Raw genomic sequence first — 19750 nt, 5'->3', positions numbered from 1 at the left:
TTGAATGTTTATGTAGTCTGGATTTTGCCTGTAGTTAGAAAGAGCTTTCCTATTCCTGGATTATTCAAAGTAGATTAGGTTGTATTGAATAGTACACCTTTCCTCCACTGATTTGAGAATACCTTCTTTATCTTATACTAAATTTCCACATGTATTTGAGTTTGCTTCTAGATTTTCTGTTCTGTTCCAGTGGTTGGATATTTCTTCATACACGTCTATCATACTGTTTTGACTATAGAGGCTTTTCAGTGTCATTTAATATCTGTGATGGCAATCCCTACTCAAAGCTCTTTGTTTTCAGTGTTCCTGTATTGCTCTTTTGTTAATCCCTTAATATAAAAGTAAATAATAACCCAGTTGGCATATTATTTTGATGACATTAAATTGGGGAGAATAGATACTGTGATTTTTGAAGCTTCCTACAAATATGATATGCTTTTCATTTGTGCAAGTACTTTAGTATAATGTTAACTGGTGGTGGTAATGGAGGAAATTCTGTCATGTTCCTTACTTTTAGTTTCCTCTAGCGCTTTCTATTTTTTTATTTTTTTTCAGATGGAGTCTTGCTCTGTCTTCTATCCAGGCTGGAGTTCAGTGGCACAATCTTGGCCCACTCAACCTCTGCTTCCTGGGCTCAAGCAATTCTCCTGCCTCAGCCTCCCAAGTACCTGGGACTATAGGCACACACCACCATGCCCGGCTACTTTTTGTATTTTTAGTAGAGACGGGGTTTCACCATGTTTGCTGGCTAGTCTGAAACTCCTGACCTGTAGTAATCTGCCCGCCGCATCCTCCCAAAGTGCTGGGATTACAGGCATGAGCCTCTGCACCCAGCCTCTAGTGCTTTCTGATTCAAGCATAATACTGGCTTTTCATCTACAATACATATCATTTATCACATTAAGGAAGAATACTTCATTTTTATTGTATTTTATCAAGATGTTGAATTTTGTCATAATGCATTTTCAGCATCTGTGGAGATGATTATATGGTTTTTCTCTTTAGGCTTACTAATTTGATTAATTGTAATAAAAGTTTCCAATATAGAACCAAACTGGATTTTGTAGAATAAACTATTGTCAGGTTTTTTTTTAATATGTTGTTGTATTTTATTTGCTAATTTTTAAAGGATTTTCTTGTTTCATGAGATGGTATATAGTTTTCCTTTGTAGCATAATTTTAGTTGGGCTTTGATCTATCAGTTTACTCCCTTCAAAAATAATTTGGAATGGTTCCCTTTTTTCAATTCTTAGGAATTGAAAAACTGATTTTTTTTTAAACTAGTTCTTAAGAACTAGTTTAACTAGTATTGGAATTATGTGTTCCTTAAAGGTTTAGTAATATTCACCTAGCATTTCTGTTTTATTTACATAGGGTTGAGCTAAGTGTTGTCTAATAATTCCTTTTAATCTCCTTGGTTCCTATGGTCATATTCCCCTTATATACTTTCATTTATTTATCCTTTCTTCCATTTTTCTTGACTAGATAAGAGGCTGCTTTAAATATTTTATTGTAATTGTTTGTTTTTCTTTCTTTTTTTTTTTTTTTGAGACGGAGTCTCATTCTGTCACCCAGGCTGGAGTGCACTGGCACAGTATCGGCTCACTGCAGCTTCCATCTCCCAGGTTCAAGCAATTCTCCTGCCTCAGCCTCCCAAGTAGCTGTGACTACAGGCACACGCCATCATGCCCGGCTAACTTTTTGTATTTTAGTAGAGACGGGGTTTCACCATGTTGCCCAGGCTGGTCACGAACTCCTGAGCTCAGGCAATCCGCCCGCCTTGGCCTCCCAAAGCACTAGGATTACAAGCGTGAGCCACCACACCCGGCCTGTTTGTTTTTCTTAATGTCTATTTTTAGTAGTAAATATGTATATACTTCTGTAATTTGGATTTATCAGTTTTAAGTAATATACTTTGGCTCCTTGATACCACAACTGAGATAATTAGCTCCCTGTTTTCCATTTTTCCCTTCCTAATTTTTGTTTGTTATACCATCTCTATGTTATTAGAATATGTAACACTTAACATTCTGTTTTGCCAGATTAATCTCTACATATAATAATATTCTGTATATGTCATCAGTCTTTTTGCCATAATTTCTCTAGTCATCTCTTACTTGGTTAAATTTAACTCTCAGTTTACTCAATAGAGCTCATAAGAAAAATACTACTTTGTTTCCTTCATGTTCAAAGCTTTTCTTTGCCCAAAGCATGTCCAATAGCCTGTATACTTAAAGAGGTTAAAGAATTTGAGTGCCTTATAGAAGTTCTTATAATTTTTCTTTCTTATGTATGTGACATTAATCAAACATTTTAAAGACTTTTTGACTTGATAAGTGATAACTATAAAGCAATGATTTATTTTTGCATTTTATTTGGAATCATACAGAACTTAGAATAAACAAGTATGTCCTACAAAGAAGTCATCTCATTCAGAATTTTTATCAATTTGTAATACATAGTTTAAAAAGTCAAATAGCTGGGCACGGTGGCTCACGCCTGTAATCCCAACAGTTTGGGAGGCTGAGGCGGACGGACCACCTGAGGTCAGGAGTTCGAAACTGGCCAACATGGTGAAACCCCATCTCTACTAAAAGTACAAAAATTAGCTGGGCGTGATGGCGGGCACCTGTAATCCCAGCTACTCAGGAGGCTGAGGCTGAGACAGGAGAATCACCACTTGAACCCAGGAGGCAGAGGTTGCAGTGAGCTGAGATCATGCCACTGCACTCCAGCCTCGGTGACAGAGCAAGACTCCCTCTCAAAAAAAGAAAGAAAAAAAAGTCAAATAGTTCCGTAAGTCTTATTAATAAAATAATAACCTCTGCCTGACTCCCTAAACAGTTAAAATGTCACAGCTGTTTCTTATAATGCTTACATTCATATTTCTAAATAACATGTTTATAATGCATCTAACTTCCTTCCATGGAAAAAGAGTATTTGGCTTTTTAAACCAATCGAGTCACATGCATGCTTTCCCCCTTCCACGTTGGACTACATCAATATTTAGTGTTAGTATTTTTATAAATAGATAAATATTGTTCGCAAATTTTATTTGCTGTCTATTGCTGTGTAACAAATTCCTCCAAAATTATTGGCTTTAAACAACATTTATTATCCCATAGTTTCTATGAGTTGAGAATCTAAGCATGGCTTAGCTGGGTCCACTAGCTCGGGGTCTCTCACAAGGCCACAGATCAAGGTGTTGGTCAGTGGTTTGTGCCCTTAGTCCCAGCTACTTGGGAGGCTGAGGCAGGAGGATCACTTGAACCCAGTAGTTCAAGGCTGCAGTGAGCTATGGTTACACCACTGCACTCCAGCCTGGGTGACAGAGCAAGATGCCATCTCTTAAAAAAAAAAAAAAAAAGCAAGTCAGAAGAACCAGAGAGTGAGTGAGTGCCAGCAAGATAGAAGAGGTCTTTTGTAACCTAATCTCAAAGTAATACTCCATTACTTTTGCCATATTTTAGTTGTTAGAAATTTGTCTCTAGAACCAGTGCCTACTCAGGGGGAGGGTATTACACAAGGGTATGAATACCAAGAGGCAGGGATTATTGCTGATCATTTTGGAAGGCTGCTACAGTACAGATAAACCATATGAATCCGGGCATGGTGGCTCATACCAGTAATCCCAGCACTTTAGGAGACTGAGGTAGGATTGCCTGAGGTCAGGAGTTCAAGACCAGCCTGAGCAACATAGCAAGACCCTGTCTCTACAAAAATAAAAATAAAAGCTGATTCATATATGTTATAATAATGTTTCCTTTCTTATGCAACTCTTCGGTAACTCTGGAATTAATACTTACTGTGCTTGTTACCTTTTTAAAAAAATACTTTTTATAATCCATCCCTAAACTCTTTGCTACATTTTCAATGCTTCCTTCACCATAGTTAAGCACATTAGGTAATCTTTGGCTATAAATTTCACTCCCCTGGAGACAGCCCTCCTGTTGTAGTTTGGATTGTTTGTTTTCTGTATCTGCTGAAATCTGTTGTGCAAGGGCTTCTGTTTAACCATCATCCTGGAAATTTTCTTTAACTTTCTTTTTGTGATAAATCTCCTATCGCAGATCCTGTGTATTTTCCCACTTTCCTTGTTTACTTCTTCATTTTGAGTGGACACTTTTTCCTATAGATTGCAGAGAAGTATTGCATGGCTAAGTACCAAATTCTAGGATGGAAATCATTTTTTCCTCAAAATGTTCAAGGTATTATTCCATTGTCTTCTAGCTTCCAGTGAGAAGTCTGCTGCTTTTCTTGTGTAGTGTTATATTATTTTCTCTCTGAATGCTCTTAAAATATCTCTTCTAAACCCAGTATTCTAAAATAATTTTGAGATAATATGTGTATGAGTTCATCTTTTTAAATTCAGTTTACTGGATAATCTCTGAGTTCTATTTATTTATTTATTTATTTTTATTTTTATTTTTATTTATTTTTTTTTTGAGGTGGAGTATCGCTATGTCACCCAGGCTGGAGTGCAGTGGCATGATATCAGCTCACTGCAACCTTCACCTGCTAGATTCAAGCAGTTCTCGTGACTCAGCCTCCTGAGTAGCTGTGATTACAGGCACATGCCACCATGCTCAGCTAACTTTTGTATTTTTTAGTAGAGACAGGGTCTCACCATGTTGGCCAGGCTGGTCTGGAACTCCTGACCTCAAGTGATCCGCCCTCCTTGGCCTCCCAAAGTGCTGGGATTACAGGCATGAGCCACTGCGCCCAGCCTCTGAGTTCTTTTAAGTCAGAAACTTGAGCTCTTCAGCTCTGATAAATTTGGGGGGCAAGGGGACTAATTTTTTCTTTTTCTTTTTCTTTTTTTTAAGATGGAGTCTTGCTGTGTTGCCCAGGGTGGAGTGCAGTGGTGTGATCTTGGCTCACTGCAACCTCTGCCTCCCAGGTTCAAGCAATTCTCCTGCCTCAGCTTACTGAGTAGCTGGGACTGCAGGCCTGTGCCACCACTCTCAGCTAATTTTTGTATTTTTAGTAGAGACAGGGTTTCAGCACATTGGCCAGGCTGGTCTCGATCTCCTGACCTCAAGTGATCTGCCTACCTCGTCTCCCCAAAGTGCTGGGATTACAGGCAAGAGCCACCACACCTGGCCCTTGGGGGATGTTATTTCTTTGACAAGTTTTGCCTTTCAAATTATATCTGTTGTCTCTTTCAGGAACTCTGTTTAGTTATATTTTGGGTCTTCTAGATTAATCCTTTAATTTTTTAAAATATCTATACGGTTCATCTCTTTGGCAATTAGTTCTACTTTATACTTTTTCCTTAATTTTTATTTTCCAACTCTTATTTAAATTTCTGTCATATTTTGTTCATTTCTAAGAGTTATTTCATATTTTTTCACTGTTCCTTTTTTTTTCTTTAGGCTAGTCAAGTGATTATTGTTCCTTTTTTAATAGTGTCATATTGTTTCAGGGATACAAAATCTCTTACCTTTCTAAGAATTGATTATACTTGGGTATATTTTATATTTAGGGGAGAATAGGGGTTTTTTGTTTGTTTTGTATTGTTGCTGTTGTTTTGTTGTTCAGTTCTCCTGTTTTTTAACTTTTTCTGTTTTGTAATTTTGTTCTCTGTCTGTCATGGTAGTTCTCAAATGTTTTGTGGTCTTCGGTTGTCCACAGTGAAAAATTGTTTTAAAGCACTTGGGGCAGAGCTTATAAACCAACGGATTTGGCTGTAATCCCAGCACTTTGGGAGGCTGAGGCGGGCAGATCATGAGGTCAGGAGATCGAGACCATCCTGGCTAACACAGTGAAACCCTGTCTCTACTAAAAATACAAAAAATTAGCCGGGCGTGGTGGCGGGCACCAATAGTCCCAGCTACTCGGGAGGCTGAGGCAGGAGAATGGCGTGAACCTGGGAGGCGGAGCTTGCAGTGAGCCAAGATCGCACCACTGCACTTGAGCCTAGGCAACAAAGCGAGACTGTCTCAAAAAAAAAATAAAAATAAAAATAAACCAATGGATTTTACTGTGATAAGAAGATACCAGTCTGCTTTTTTTAGTAAGACACCCCCAAATGTCAACAAGTATACATAGATCTTTTGTCTTGGATTGGTAAATTTTTCCAGAGAGGAATCAACCAATCTTTTAGCAGCTCTGGGAGAGCCACACTGGGGACAGAGACTGGAAAGCAGATTTTTACTTAATCCCTCTGTTTTCAGACATCTCACTCTCAACTGTAACTAAAACTGCTGGTTTCATATCCTCAATAGTTTAGCCTCACCAAAGATTAACTTCATCTTTTGGAATGGGGAGGACACAGACGCTTGATTGTATTAGAGAAGATCTGGAGTTTTAATTGAACCCTTTAAAAAATTGTAACCAGACCTCTTATTTGCAATACCTCTCTATAGTCATCTTCAGAGACAATCATTGCCTTCAATTTTCAGGCCGTCGCAGGGTCCCAAAACACTAATGAACTTTCTGTTTTGTTGGTTGCCCATCTATCCATTTCAGGCTTATGCTTTAGATTTTTCTGGTCTGATAATCAGTTCTCCCATTGTGTATGTGACTCCTGCTTCTGAAATTTTATTGGCATCTCTCATCTTTTGTTACCTCCTCTCCCATTTTATTTATTCTTGTAGTTTAATTTTTGTTCCTGTCATTTAAGCGTTAAGAGACAGCAGAGAGAGAGTGCATGTTTAATCTGTTGCATTTAAATAGAAGTCTCAGAATATTTTTTAACTCCTCATCTGGTATTGCCTTCCTCGCTTATGTACCAGTAACACGGAAATACTAGTTTTCTTTCTACTTTACCGCTTCATTATTTGCTGCTAGTAACTTGAATTGATAGCCTTGGCCCTCAGAGAGGAAATTTGCTGATGCTAATTTAGACCTGAGAAATCCTAGCAAAGAGGCTTGGGAAAAGGCACGTTTGTATGGTAAGATTATTTTGCACAGTGCATCAAGATACAAACTGATTAATAATTCATTTGTGCTCTCTGCCTGTGGTAAGTGGGTGTAGCTGACAGAACTATACTATAAATTGCCATCCTGAATTGGATGATGACTGCTTATAAGTATTTGTAGTTTAGTGATGTAATGGTTTAAGAGAAGACTTCTTAAGTATACTCATATTTGAGGAACATAGTTCTCAACAAAACTTTACGTCAGTGCTAACCACACCCTTTCATCAAAGCTTAGAATTAAATAATACTGAAAAGTAGACCTAGGAGCAGTGAAGGACACTTTTAAGTAAATGTAAAATAAGATCTCATAACTATGCATTATACCAATAATTGTATTGAATAGCAGAGTGATAGTATCAGCTAGCAAGAGGCTATCGACCTGTGTTCCTGCCACCATTCTTTGGTTCTGAATGTATCTGGGACTGATTGATTAGGTCAGGCCATTTCAAGAAAGTGAATGATAACCCAGGAATGGCCTGGAGTGGAGGGAATTAGTTGGAGAATATCTGATATAAAATGACTATTTGGGCCTTGAATGGATTTAAAAGTTCCATAGTCAAATATTAGCCCATTTTGAAAACTAAGAATAGTGCTAGTATCTCCCCAGTTTCCTTGTGATTATATCAGGACTCTCATTCATTGCTTTTTAAACCAAATTAGATTCTTCTAGCCTACATTTTGAAGGCTGAATATGAATCAAGCATAAGGAATTTTCTTTCCAACTGCGGAAGAGTTAACTTATGAGAAATATCTACATTTTGATTGGGATGTTGGTTACATGGGTGTATACATTTGTTAAAATTCATCAACTTTTTAATATAAAGTATATATGTTTTATTGCACATAAATTATACCTTAATCAGTTAATTTTGAAATATGGATCTCTTGTAAACTTTATAAGACTTTCTCCTTCCTTATATTATTTCATGTGGTATAGTAAGTAAATATCAGTTACACCTCTAATAAGCCATTTGACATGAATTTCCACCTCTCTCAAGCTTTAATCCTCTGATCTGTATAATTGAGATTTTAACAGTACCTACTTCAGAGAGTTGTAAGGACTTAAATTAAAAAAATATATATATGTGTGTGTGTGCACATATATGTGTGTATACATATATACGTATACATATGCACACACACATATATACATACATAAAATACTTAGCATAATACCTGGCACATAGTAGATCCTCAGTATATAGTAGCTGCACATTATTATTAATATAACAATTACTACTATTTGTATTAGTCATTTCTCCTTTGATTTCTCCTTTTATTATCTTTTTACAGAAAACCCATATAGACAGCTGCCTTGTAACTGTCATGGAAGCATGCCTGGAAAGACAGCAATAGAACTTGGACCTCTGTGGTATGTGACCAGCCATAAGAACATATTAAAATTTGATGTATTGATTGATTTATTAATTGCTGATTTTTATTATGTGTGGTAAAAGACAAATTTAAATTCAATTGTTAAGTCTAGGCAAATAATTATGACTCTTCTCCTCCTATGAACCTGAGGTGTTTAATATTTTGAGATTTTTCTCTACCATTATTCTCTCTAGTTTGTGACAGAACTAAGAGGCAATGGAGGTAAAAGAGAAGCCTGGATGATCTGGAAACTAGATAATTCATTTCTGAATAGTAAGAAAGAAGCTTTTTAAAATTGATCATTGTAGATCTAGCATGTGATTTTTAAATGATCACAATAACTTTTTATAGAAGAGCCAACTCATGTAAAAGGTCCTAGAAGAATTAGTTTTAAGAGAGAAAGGCATGTGAAAGTGTCTGCCTTTGTTTTAGATAAAGTTATTTAGATGATACACAATTGGAAATATTTAATGTGTATATGCTTTTGCATCATTGGTAACAGCTGATTGTACCTTAAAGTTGAATTGGTTTTTTTTGTTTGTTTGTTTTTTTGAGACAGAGTCCCGCTCTTGTCACCCAGGCTGGAGTGCAGTGGCGCAATATCGGCTCACTGCAACCTCCACCTCCTAGGTTCAAGCGATTCTCCTGCCTCAGCCTCCTGAGTAGCTGGGATTACAGGCACCCGCCACAACACCTGGCTGATTTTTGTACTTTCATTAGAGACTGGGTTTCACCATGTTTGCCAGGCTGGTCTCGAACTCCTGATCTCAGGTGATCTGCCTGGCTCAGCCTCCCAAAGTACTAGGATTACAGGTGTGAGCCACTGCGCCTGGCCAAATTATTTTAATCAGAATCCTTACCTTAAGTTTGTTACTAGAGATTCTTTTTTTTTTTTTTTTTTTTTTTTGAGACAGAGTTTCACTCTTGTTGCCCAACCTGGAGTGCAATGGCACTATCTCGGCTCACCACAACCTCTGCCTCCCAGGTTCAAGCAATTTTCCTACCTCAGCCTCCTGAGTAGCCAGGATTACAGGCATGTGCCACCATGCCCAGCTAATTTTGTATTTTTTTAGTAGAGACCGGGTTTCTCCATGTTGGTCAGGCTGATATCAAACTCCCGACCTCAAGTGATCCACCCGCCTCGGCCTCCCAAAGTGCTGGGGATTACAGGTGTGAGCTACCGCACCCGGCCGAGATTCTTACAGAAATTCAAGATTCCTAAGAACATTGTGACAAGAATTGCAAATTTCTTCTCATTACTTTATAAGGTCAAGGCTTAAGCACCTACTAAACCTAGAAATTGACCTACATGGTAAATGTCTTTGTGCTGATGCTCATGATTTTATCTTCATCTTATTAAATACTCTTAGATTAAGAAAGATCTAGCCAGCCCTACCTTCTAGTTCTTCTAAAACTAGTTCTCACCTATAGCATCTGCTACACATTGATCCTACTCACTGATTCAGAACTGAGGAAATTAAAAATAGCAGGTTACTGGATCCAGAAGGAAGATTTCTAGCCTAACTGCCTTATTTTACACATGAGGAAACTATGGCACAGTGTTTTTAAGTGCTTGCTAAAACTGACCAAAAAAATTCATACCACAGCCAAGGCTAGAACTTAGGTTTTCTGACTCCCAGGACTGAATTCTTTTTTTATTTTTTATTTTTGAGGCAGAATCCCACTTTGTTGCCCAGGCTGAAGTGCAGTGGCACAATCTTGGCTTACTGCAACCTCCACCTTTTGGGTTCAAGCGAATCTCCTGACTCAGCCTCCCGAGTAGCTGGGACTACAGGCATGTGCCACTGCACCCAGCTAATTTTTGTATTTTTAATAGAGAGGGGGTTTCATCATGTTGGCCAGGCTGGTCTTGAACTCCTGACTCCACCCACCTCGGCCTCCCGAAGTGCTGGGATTATGAATTCTTAATAAAACCTTATGATTTCCACATGAAAGCTATTGTGTTCATGGCTTTACACTCATCCAGAATACCTTCCCCTCTCTACCACCTCCAATTCAAATTGTACTTTCTTTTTGAAGTCTCTTCTTAGTGCCTCAACCCAATATAATCTCTAAATTCCCTTTAGTATATCTTATATTGATCACATATTTGATAATTTAAAATCATATATTCTTTCATATATATTTGCTAACCCTAACAATAGTAGCTACCATACATTGAGGATATATAGAGAAGTTTTATTTTTGGCCAGGCGTGGTGGTTCATGCCTGTAATCCCAGCACTTTGGGAGGCTGAGACAGGAGAATGTCGTGAACCCGGGAGGCAGAGCATGCAGTGGGCTGAGATTGCGCCAGTGCACTCTAGCCTGGGCGACAGAGCAAGACTCCATCTCCAAAAAGAAAAAAGTTTTATTTTACATTTCATGATGAGGAATATAAGACTGAAAAGTAGTAATTACTCAGGATTATATAGCTAGCCCAGCACAGTTGCAGACATCTATAGTCCCACCTACTCAGGAGGCTGAGGCAGGAGGATCCCTTGAGCCCAGGAATTCAAGTTCAGCCTGGGCAGCATAGTGAGACCCTGTCTCTTAATAAAAAGATTACATAACTAGTAAGTGGTGGAGCCAGGATTGGAATCCAGTTTATCATACTCAGAATTTCATATTTTGTCCATTATACCTGTGATTCTTAAATTAAATGGGAAGCATATCAGATTCACCCCAGACTATTTCTGAACCATACCATCACCACATATAATTCTCATATATGTGCTCCCCTGCCCTGTCCTGCCCCACCCTACCACCATAAACTCATCAGAATTAAGATTTTCTATTAGTGACTAGAATGTGCATTGTGAAAACCTCTTCATTGCTTTATTTTCCTGTCTAGATTTATAGGCTTTTATAAGGTCAACATTGTATATTATATTTTGGTATATCCTCCACACACCCTCTGTGTACCACAGTACTGTATACCTTATGAGAGTTCAATAAATTATTTTTTTATTAAGGTAACATACACATATAACATTTTCCTTCTTTACCATTTTTAAGTATACACTTCAGTGGTAATAAATACATTTATATTCTTTTACCCCTCTTCATCACCCTCTCCCTTCTCCCCTTCCCAGCCTCAATAGATTCTTGTTGACTTAATTAAGTTTCCTTGACTAATGCTACTAGTTTAGAGAACTGATATGATAAAAATGAGTGGCAAATAGAAAATAAAGTTTTAGGCCAGAAGTGTGGTGTCTCACACCTGTAATTCCAGCACTTTGGGAAGCCAAGGTAGGAGGATCCCTTGAGCCCAGTAGTTTGAGATCAGCCTGGGCAACATGATGACACCCTATCTCTATTAAAAAATAATAAAATACTATAGCCTAGGCAACAGGACGGGACTCTATCTCAAAAAAGAATAATAATAATAAAGAAAATAAACAGTTTTAAATTAAATCATAAATTCTTTTTGAATTTAAGTATTACTCTGTCATATAATTAATTATATATCTTACTTATAGTTAAATTGTGAAGACTTTCTTTTTAAAGAGAAACATTTTTCAAACCCAGTTCTCTGTATATTCTTTTCTTTTCAGGTCAAGTTCCCTTTTCAATACTGGATTCCTCAAAAGAATGCTATTTGAATCTCTTCACCATGGTTTGGATGACATTCAGACCCTAATAAAGACATTAATCTTTGAATCAGAGTGTACGCCTCAAAGTCAGTTTTCAATTCATGCATCTTCAAATGTCAACAAGCAAGGTGACTAACTGAACGCTAGCTTACTAGCTTTAAACTGCTTACCAAAAATACTGTATCTTTTTCAATTGTATTTGATGTTATAATAAAACCAATATAATTATAAATAGTGTGTTTTTAGTAAATCTTCTCTAATGAGTCTGATCCTCTGGTTTTTTTTTAATTACATAGTTTTATTCAGGCTTGTAATCAGGCCTGAGATGAATAGGTGAATGATGAATAGTGTTGTTGGTTTTGTTGTTTTTTTTTTGGATACTGGGTCTCACTTTTTCACCCAAGCTGGAATACAAGTGGCACAAACATGGCTCACTGCAGTCTCAACCTCCTAGACTCAGGCAGTCCTCTTGCCTCAGCCTCAACCTCCTGTGTAGCTGGGACCACAAGCATGCACACCACACCTGGCTAATATTTTTTAGAGATGGGGTCTCACCATATTGTCCAGGCGGATTTCAAACTCCTGGGCTCAAGCAGTCCTCCCACCTTGACCTCCCAAAGTGGCTGGGATTACAGGCATGAACCACCATGCCCTGATAATTTTTTTTTAAAGATAACCTCCTTTTTTGTGTGTTTTTAATTTTACTAGATTTAAAAAAAGAAAAAAAAAACACTAAAGGTCCTTTGTGATTTTTATTACCCTAGATGTGCTTTCTAGAAAAAGAAACTTTTGGTAATTCAAGGAGTGTTGTGGCCAAAAATTGTAATATCTATGAAGACACAGAAACTACATTTATACTTCTCATTCAGTAAAGCTATGTGTTTTTTCTGTTTAGTACAAACAGCCAATTTTGTAGTTGTATCTGACTATTGATATGAGCCTATTGAATATCCTAGTGTTCTCATAAATAATTAGAAACTGCTATTATAGAGGGTTAAAAATGTAATTTTTGCAGTTCAGTTTGGCCACAGAATCTCTTGCATATTCGTGAAAATAGTGTGGATGGAATTTCATAAACTTTTATTTAAACTGAGTTGTTGCTTTATGTCATTCTGTAAAATATTTTCTTTTCCCATTTGCTTTATTTTTTAGAAGAAAATGGTGTATTTATTAAAACTACAGATGACACCACAACAGATAATTACATTGCACAAGGTATGTATGCATATATGTGTGTACATATGTACATATCAGGTCAAAAAGGCATATAGCAAAAGGGTAGGAAGAGAAGAGATTGCCATGGTAGCCTACTTAAAAATACATTTCATATTATATGACAACAAAACTGTAGTAAAACTTGTTTATCAGCATTCACACATAGGAAATTTCTGTTAACATATGCTTTGTTCACATCTGTAATATATGGTTATCCCTTTGAACGAACTGTATGATCTTGAACCATGTGAATAAAATAAGATCAAATTATATATGATAAAGTTATATATAATTTTATAGTTAAGATAAAATTTTATTCTAATTCTTTTAAAAATTGCTCATTAATATATGATTTATAGCAATTCCATTTAAGTAACCAGAAGACCTCATTCTTCAGCCAAAAGAATTTATTATATGGCCTTTCATATAATTTAGGATATGTGCATACTTTAAATCTAGCTGTGGTAGACACTAAATTCATATTAAAGGATGTTAAGATTTAAAATATCAGTGCCCTAATGTCTAAGGTTTTGTTTTGCTTTTTAAAAAACTTTAGATTCTAGATGTGTTTTTTGAGTACAGATGAAAAGAAGACTGTAGAGTGTTAAGTTTGAAAGAGCAGTGGCCTTTAGTTATCAGCTGTAATTTTTTATTAGTTGCTCAGCAGTTTAATGTTGACCTTCAAAGACAAGGAAACTTAAATTTCTTTTAATAGTATATAGTTTAAATAACTACTGCATACTCTTTGCAACAGCCATGTTCATTTGGCATCTTCAACTAATTTGATAACTTAAATTGATACATTCTACCTAATTTCTCTGTTGGAGGGAAGACAAAGAAGCATTATGATACACTATAAAGAATATTAGATTTGCTGGGCATAGTGGCTCATGCCTATAATCCCAGCATTTTGGGAGGCCAAGTTGGGTAGATCACTTGAGGTCAGGAGTTCAAGACCAGCCTGGCCAACATGGTGAAACCCCGTCTCTACGAAAAACACAAAAATTAGCCAGGTGTGTCAGTGCAAGCCTGTAATACCAGCTACTTGAGAGGCTGAGGTGGGAGAATTGCCTGAACCCAGGAGGCAGAGGCTGCAGTTAGCCAAGATTGCACCACTGCACTCCAGCCTGGGTGACAGATCGAGACTGTCTCAAAAAAAAAAAAAAAAAAAAAATTAGATTTAAGAGTATTATCCTATGCAGGCGTTGTTATATAAACTCAGCCAGGTCCCTCCCATTCAGCAAAATTATCTTAAATCCTTTTTAGAATAAAGTAAAACATAAATAAGCTTTAAAAATATTTTCAAAAGCCAAGAGCACAGTAGCACACACCTGTAATCTCAGCTACTCAGGAGGCTGAAGTGGGAGGATAGTGTAAGGATTGTGTGAGCCTGGGCAACACAGCCAAACTCCATCTCAAAAAAAAAATTTGTTTTTAATCTGTGAGCCTTTCTCATAAGTAAATTAAGGAAATTAGACTAATTTTTGTGGGCTCTTCTATAACTTTTAAATTATATGGTTATTCTAAGACCATTGGTCAACACATAAAATCTTAAAATGATAGTACTATGCAAACCCAAAGGAAAATAATTCATTCTGTCAAAGATACGTTATATGTTCATTGCAGTGCTATTCACAGTAGCAAAGACAGAATCAACCTAGGTGCCCATCATCAATGGACTGGATAAAGAAAATGAACATATGTACTAAGGAATACTATGCAGCCATAAGAAAGAACAAAATCATGCTCTTTGCAGCAACATGGATGGCACTCTAGGCCGTTATCCTAATAAAACTAATGCAAGAACAGAAAACCAAAGCCCCATGTTCTAACTTACAAGTGGGAGCTAAACTTTGGGTACTCACAGACATCAGATGGGAATAATAGACACTGGGGACTACTAGATGGGGGAGGGATGGGATGTGGCCTGGGCTGAAGAACCACCTGTTGGGTACTATGCCCACTGCATGGGTGCTGGGGTTGTTAGGACCCCAAACCCCAGCATTACACAATATACCCACGTAACAAACCTACACATATACCCTTTAATCGATAAAGAAAGTTGAAATTATTTTTTAAAAAAGAAGAAATTACCAGGCCAAAAAAAAAAATCTATATACTGCTGATGATACTCACTATTAACGTATTACATCAGATTTTTTGCCTCAGATGCTCCTAGAACTTGTACTAAATCTGGATATCTATCCTTTGACTAGGTGCCTCATTAGATTTCATGCAGTTTCAAATTTTAGATTTCAAATTATAATTCTGATTTGATGGATGGATCCCAGGTTGTCCTTTTTGCTTTATGTTTTTATGTAAAGAGGCAACAGTTCAGCAATAATTTATATTTATTTTGAATGTAATTTATTTTTATGTATCAACTTTGCCTTTTCAATACTTTTTTTTTTTTAAGAGACAGGGTCTCACTGTGTTGCTCAGGCTAGACTCAAACTCCTAGGCTCAAGCCATCCTGCCACCTCAGCCTCCCAAGTAGCTGGGACTTGGGTCCCAGTTACACAGGTGTACGCTACTGCTCCTGGCAGCTTCTGAATATTTTGCTTAAGCAGATGTTAATTACTTTCCCTGAAGAGATAAGATTTGACCATAACGTTCATATATAAATAATCAAGGGTTGAACACCAGGCAAAATCTCATTATAGTATTGGATATCTCAGTTGTTTTCATGTTGTGATTTTTGGAAGGATACAGTTCTAGAATCTTAGCTGGCCTCCTTTCACTCAAAATGAAAAAACTAAGTGCTGTGATGAGAAATAGGCAATGAGATCATAACATTGACCTTATGTCAGTTTCTGTGTCCAAACTCTCAAGACTTTGTGTTGTTTTTCTTTGTTTTGTGATTACTAAAGACCCACTGTGTATCCAATACTGATCACTCAGTAGAAATACAGGTATAAAAATGAAAGACATTGTCCTTAGGAACTTAGAATATAACTTGGGGAGAAAGGACTTACACACATTAAGGAACTATAAGAAAAGAAAAAAAAATGACAACTTAATCAAACTCTGAGTAGTGTAGTGTAGTATTAACAACAATGAAATGTATGAAGTGACTAGCCCCAGATTGACAGATGGCTTCCTACAGGAGACGAAATAGAGTGTGGCTTGAAGTTGAAGAAGGTAGAAAGGAAGTTCTGATTCAGCAGTTTAATATGAAAATTACATAAGTGAAGGACCGTGAAAATAGAATAAATTATAAGAATTAAGATTGGATAGTCAGGTTGAAATAATGTGTCAGGATTTATACTTGAGATAAATATATAGTTATAAAAGTATTTGGCTTGTAATTTTTAAGAGCATGCTAACTTTGTATGTGTATGTTGCAGGAAAGAGAAAAAGTAATGAAATGATCACAAATTTAGGCAAGAAGCAAAAGACTGATGTCAGTACTGAACATCCTCCCTTTTATTACAACATTCACAGACACAGCATTAAAGGAATGAATATGCCAAAGTAAGACACCCAGTGAATGACAAAGTATATATATTTTATATTTTAATAATATTGTGATTTAAATAAAAATACAAGAACCTGATTATTTTTTCTTTCCTTTCCTTTTTGCAGGTTAAAAAAGTTTTTGTGCTATTTATCTCAAGCAGGCTTTCGAGTAAGCCGAACTCATTTTGACCCAATGGGTGTACGCACAGATGCACCTCTGATGCAGTTTAAATCTATCCTTTTAAAGTACAGCACCCCCACCTACACTGGAGGACAGTCAGAAAGCCATGTCCAGTCAGCATCTGAAGATACAGTAACTGAAAGAGTTGAAATGTCAGTGAATGACAAAGCAGAAGCAAGTGGCTGCAGAAGATGGTAAACGTAGAGAAGAATTGGTTCTCAGGTGTCTGTATAGATGGCCTAATAGTTCTCTATACCAACTGTAGTTCTTTTTCTGTTCTTTCAATTCAGTAGAGTAAAAATAAAAAACAGTGTCATTTTCATTCAGAAACTGAGCAGTTTCTAACTTAGCTGGTTTGGGAGCTTTGCTTTCCAAGTTTTTTTTTGTTTTAAGGCAAACTTAAAATTTTAATGGAAACATTTCATATGAAGCCAAGTCTCACTGAGATCACCCTACTGCTTAATAATTCAGAAAATTTTCACATGCAAAGTGTTTGGAATTTTATGTATGTTATGAAAGCCATCTTTTACAATTCTTAATCACATCTCTGCCTAAACTGATTCATGATGTTTATGTTTTCCTGTTTGTAGTGTACAAAATGAAGCTGAAGGCTCACATGTTAAAATGACCCTGAATAGAATAGGAAGAACAATGTTCTTACAGGTCATAATGTATTTCACAATTAAAAAACTAAAATATGTACCCATTTTTAAGAAATCATACTTCTCTCCACATTGATCTTTTCATTTCTTACTAGCTTTTAAGAAATTAAATACTTGCCTGAGATAGAAATACTTTATTTTTGTAACTTTAAGGTCTAAATGACTAAACTTCAAAGTAAGATTTTGTCAGAATAAATTGAGACCATTAATCTAATATAATACTTGTTCATGAGCACTGAAATCCTGAAGAGGAGAGATTTGGTTATAAATTAAAAAGGTTGGGTGATCTTAAGTGCCTCAGTTAATGCACGTACAGTATTCATTTGGTTGGTTGTACTACCTCTCAGAAGTAAAATTTGTCACCTTATGGAATGAGAGTTTTTGGGTTTGGGGGTTGTTTTTTTGTTGTTGCTTGGTTTGGTATTTTTGGTTTTGTGTGTATTTGTATAAATTTTCTGTATAATTAGCCCAGGCTGATGTAACTATAAAAATTAGTTGAAAAAAAAAATATTGTTTCCTTAATGGAATTCTCACTTCATTTGAATATAAGATTTTGGATGAAAGGATTTGGTATAAAGTTTGGGTTTTTGTCTCAAGGATTTGATCCATATTTATCCCTAAATATTTCTTAAGGGATGTAACTTTTTATAACCATTAAGTGGGGGGAAGGGGGTGGAGGGGGTGGTAATAATTATAACTGAAAGGTTTAAATATACTACCTAAGAAAAAAGTACTTCTGTGACATATACAAAAAAATCTAGTGGATAGGCATTAGATGAATAGAGAATATTAATTTTGCAGAAATGAAGGAAAATCTCTTCGTGCTAGTACAGCGTATTCCCAAGAGAGTTTATTTTCCTTTCTCCAATTAATGTGGTCATAAATTTCGGTAAAATCAAGAAATAGGTGAAGTGCAAGCTAGTTTCTATAATGACCATTAAAAAAATTCTGCTGTGTAATTCTTGCCAGTTAAAATTATAACTTGCAAATGAGCAGAATAAATGAGGTTTTTTTCAATTAAAAATTACTATAAATCCAGGAGGCAAACTATTTTAGCACTCAGATTATCTGATTTAATACATATTATTGAATATCAGTCTCAAATTTTGCTAAATGCTTATCAGCATGAAATATGTTGATCAGTGATGAGTTGGGCTTAATGCAAAGATCCTAATTTAATAAAGAAACCTGTAAATTACTGTTACCTAAAATATATGTGTATATTAATTTCACATATAAAGGTAGATTTTTCAAAGAAAAATTTGGTAGGCGGTAGTTTAGAACTCTGATCAGGTACTACATCAACCAAAAGAGGAAATACTTTAAAAATTCCTTTTAGCAACCTGAGCAATCTTATTCTCGTAACAATAGTAGTAATTTGGGACATTGCAAATGTTTATCATGTTGTAAAGTAGCATCAGTTGTATCCTTTCATTAAAACTTGATAAACAAAAGAACGAGTTAAGGAAACCAGTGTGTTGACTCTGCTAGTTGCTAATGTTAATACTCTAGCCATACACTCAGGAAATGGGAGAAGTAACCAAGGGATGGGTTTAGGGGTCACTGTGGTGGACTTGGGTCAAAACTCCACTTATACTGACTTCCACAAGACTCCACTCTGAATAAGTGTTTGATGTTCTGGTTGCCCAAAATTAGGACTAATTCAGCATGTTTGGTGAGCCCGAAAGGTCTAGGAATTTCTTTCTGCACTGTGTAACTGCTCTGGTAAATGGCCACAGATTACTTTGGAGAATGCTAAGAGATACATAATACATACTCATGATATTATGTCAAAGTCCTTTCTCCAAGGCCTCCAGAAATTGAATTAAATCAGACCTGAGAATCAGTTAAGGGCTCATGATTACTACAGTGGCTCAAGTCAGACTAACAGTTTTTAGTAACATAGACCAAATAGGACTATCCATTTTCCTTCTTTAGATCACATGATCCTTCAGCCAAAGCCAGACCTCATGTTGAGAGTATACTGATTATCCTGTGGTTCCTGCTGTCTATTACAGTAACCATGCCCACCTTTCTAGTCTAGCAATTAAATGCACTACTTTGTCTCTGACACAAAACAGTCTTGAAAATGCCTATCGAATCAAGGGGTCCATTTCAACTGAAGCATCTCCCACTGGCATCTCTGGCCTACAGACAGACTATATGGCTTTTCAAGAGTGCTGGTGCTCTGCTCACCAGTGTTTTTCTCAATGCCTTGGTAAAGAGAGTTGACTAGACTCTTACGAGGGATACAGTTAGAGGATCACTCATATTAAATCCTCCCCAACATGGCCCCTCTTCTTTGATTTCTTTTCTCTACATCATACCAAGGAGTTTCTGG

The 19750-nt window shown here is 36.4% G+C and overlaps 1 protein-coding gene across 4 annotated transcripts in view; it reads left to right on the top strand.

The window, feature by feature from the left end:
- Positions 1 to 18863, top strand: part of TRMT1L (tRNA methyltransferase 1L) — a 39437-nt gene extending 20574 nt beyond the window's left edge. For all 4 annotated transcript variants that reach the window (XM_047431291.1, NM_001202423.2, NM_030934.5 and 1 more), the window contains exons 11-15: positions 8217 to 8295; positions 11854 to 12020; positions 13045 to 13107; positions 16455 to 16581; positions 16693 to 18863. In XM_047431291.1, the coding sequence (XP_047287247.1) occupies positions 8217 to 8295; positions 11854 to 12020; positions 13045 to 13107; positions 16455 to 16581; positions 16693 to 16945 (689 nt within the window). In that variant the 3' untranslated portion in view covers positions 16946 to 18863. The remainder of the gene's footprint in view (positions 1 to 8216; positions 8296 to 11853; positions 12021 to 13044; positions 13108 to 16454; positions 16582 to 16692) is intronic.
- Positions 18864 to 19750: the final 887 nt, after the last annotated feature.

Source organism: Homo sapiens, chromosome 1 (genome assembly GCF_000001405.40).
Source record: "Homo sapiens chromosome 1, GRCh38.p14 Primary Assembly".
Classification (NCBI taxonomy): domain Eukaryota; kingdom Metazoa; phylum Chordata; class Mammalia; order Primates; family Hominidae; genus Homo; species Homo sapiens.
The sequence above is the reverse complement of the archived record's forward strand: the minus strand, read 5'-3'. Positions and strand labels throughout refer to the sequence as shown.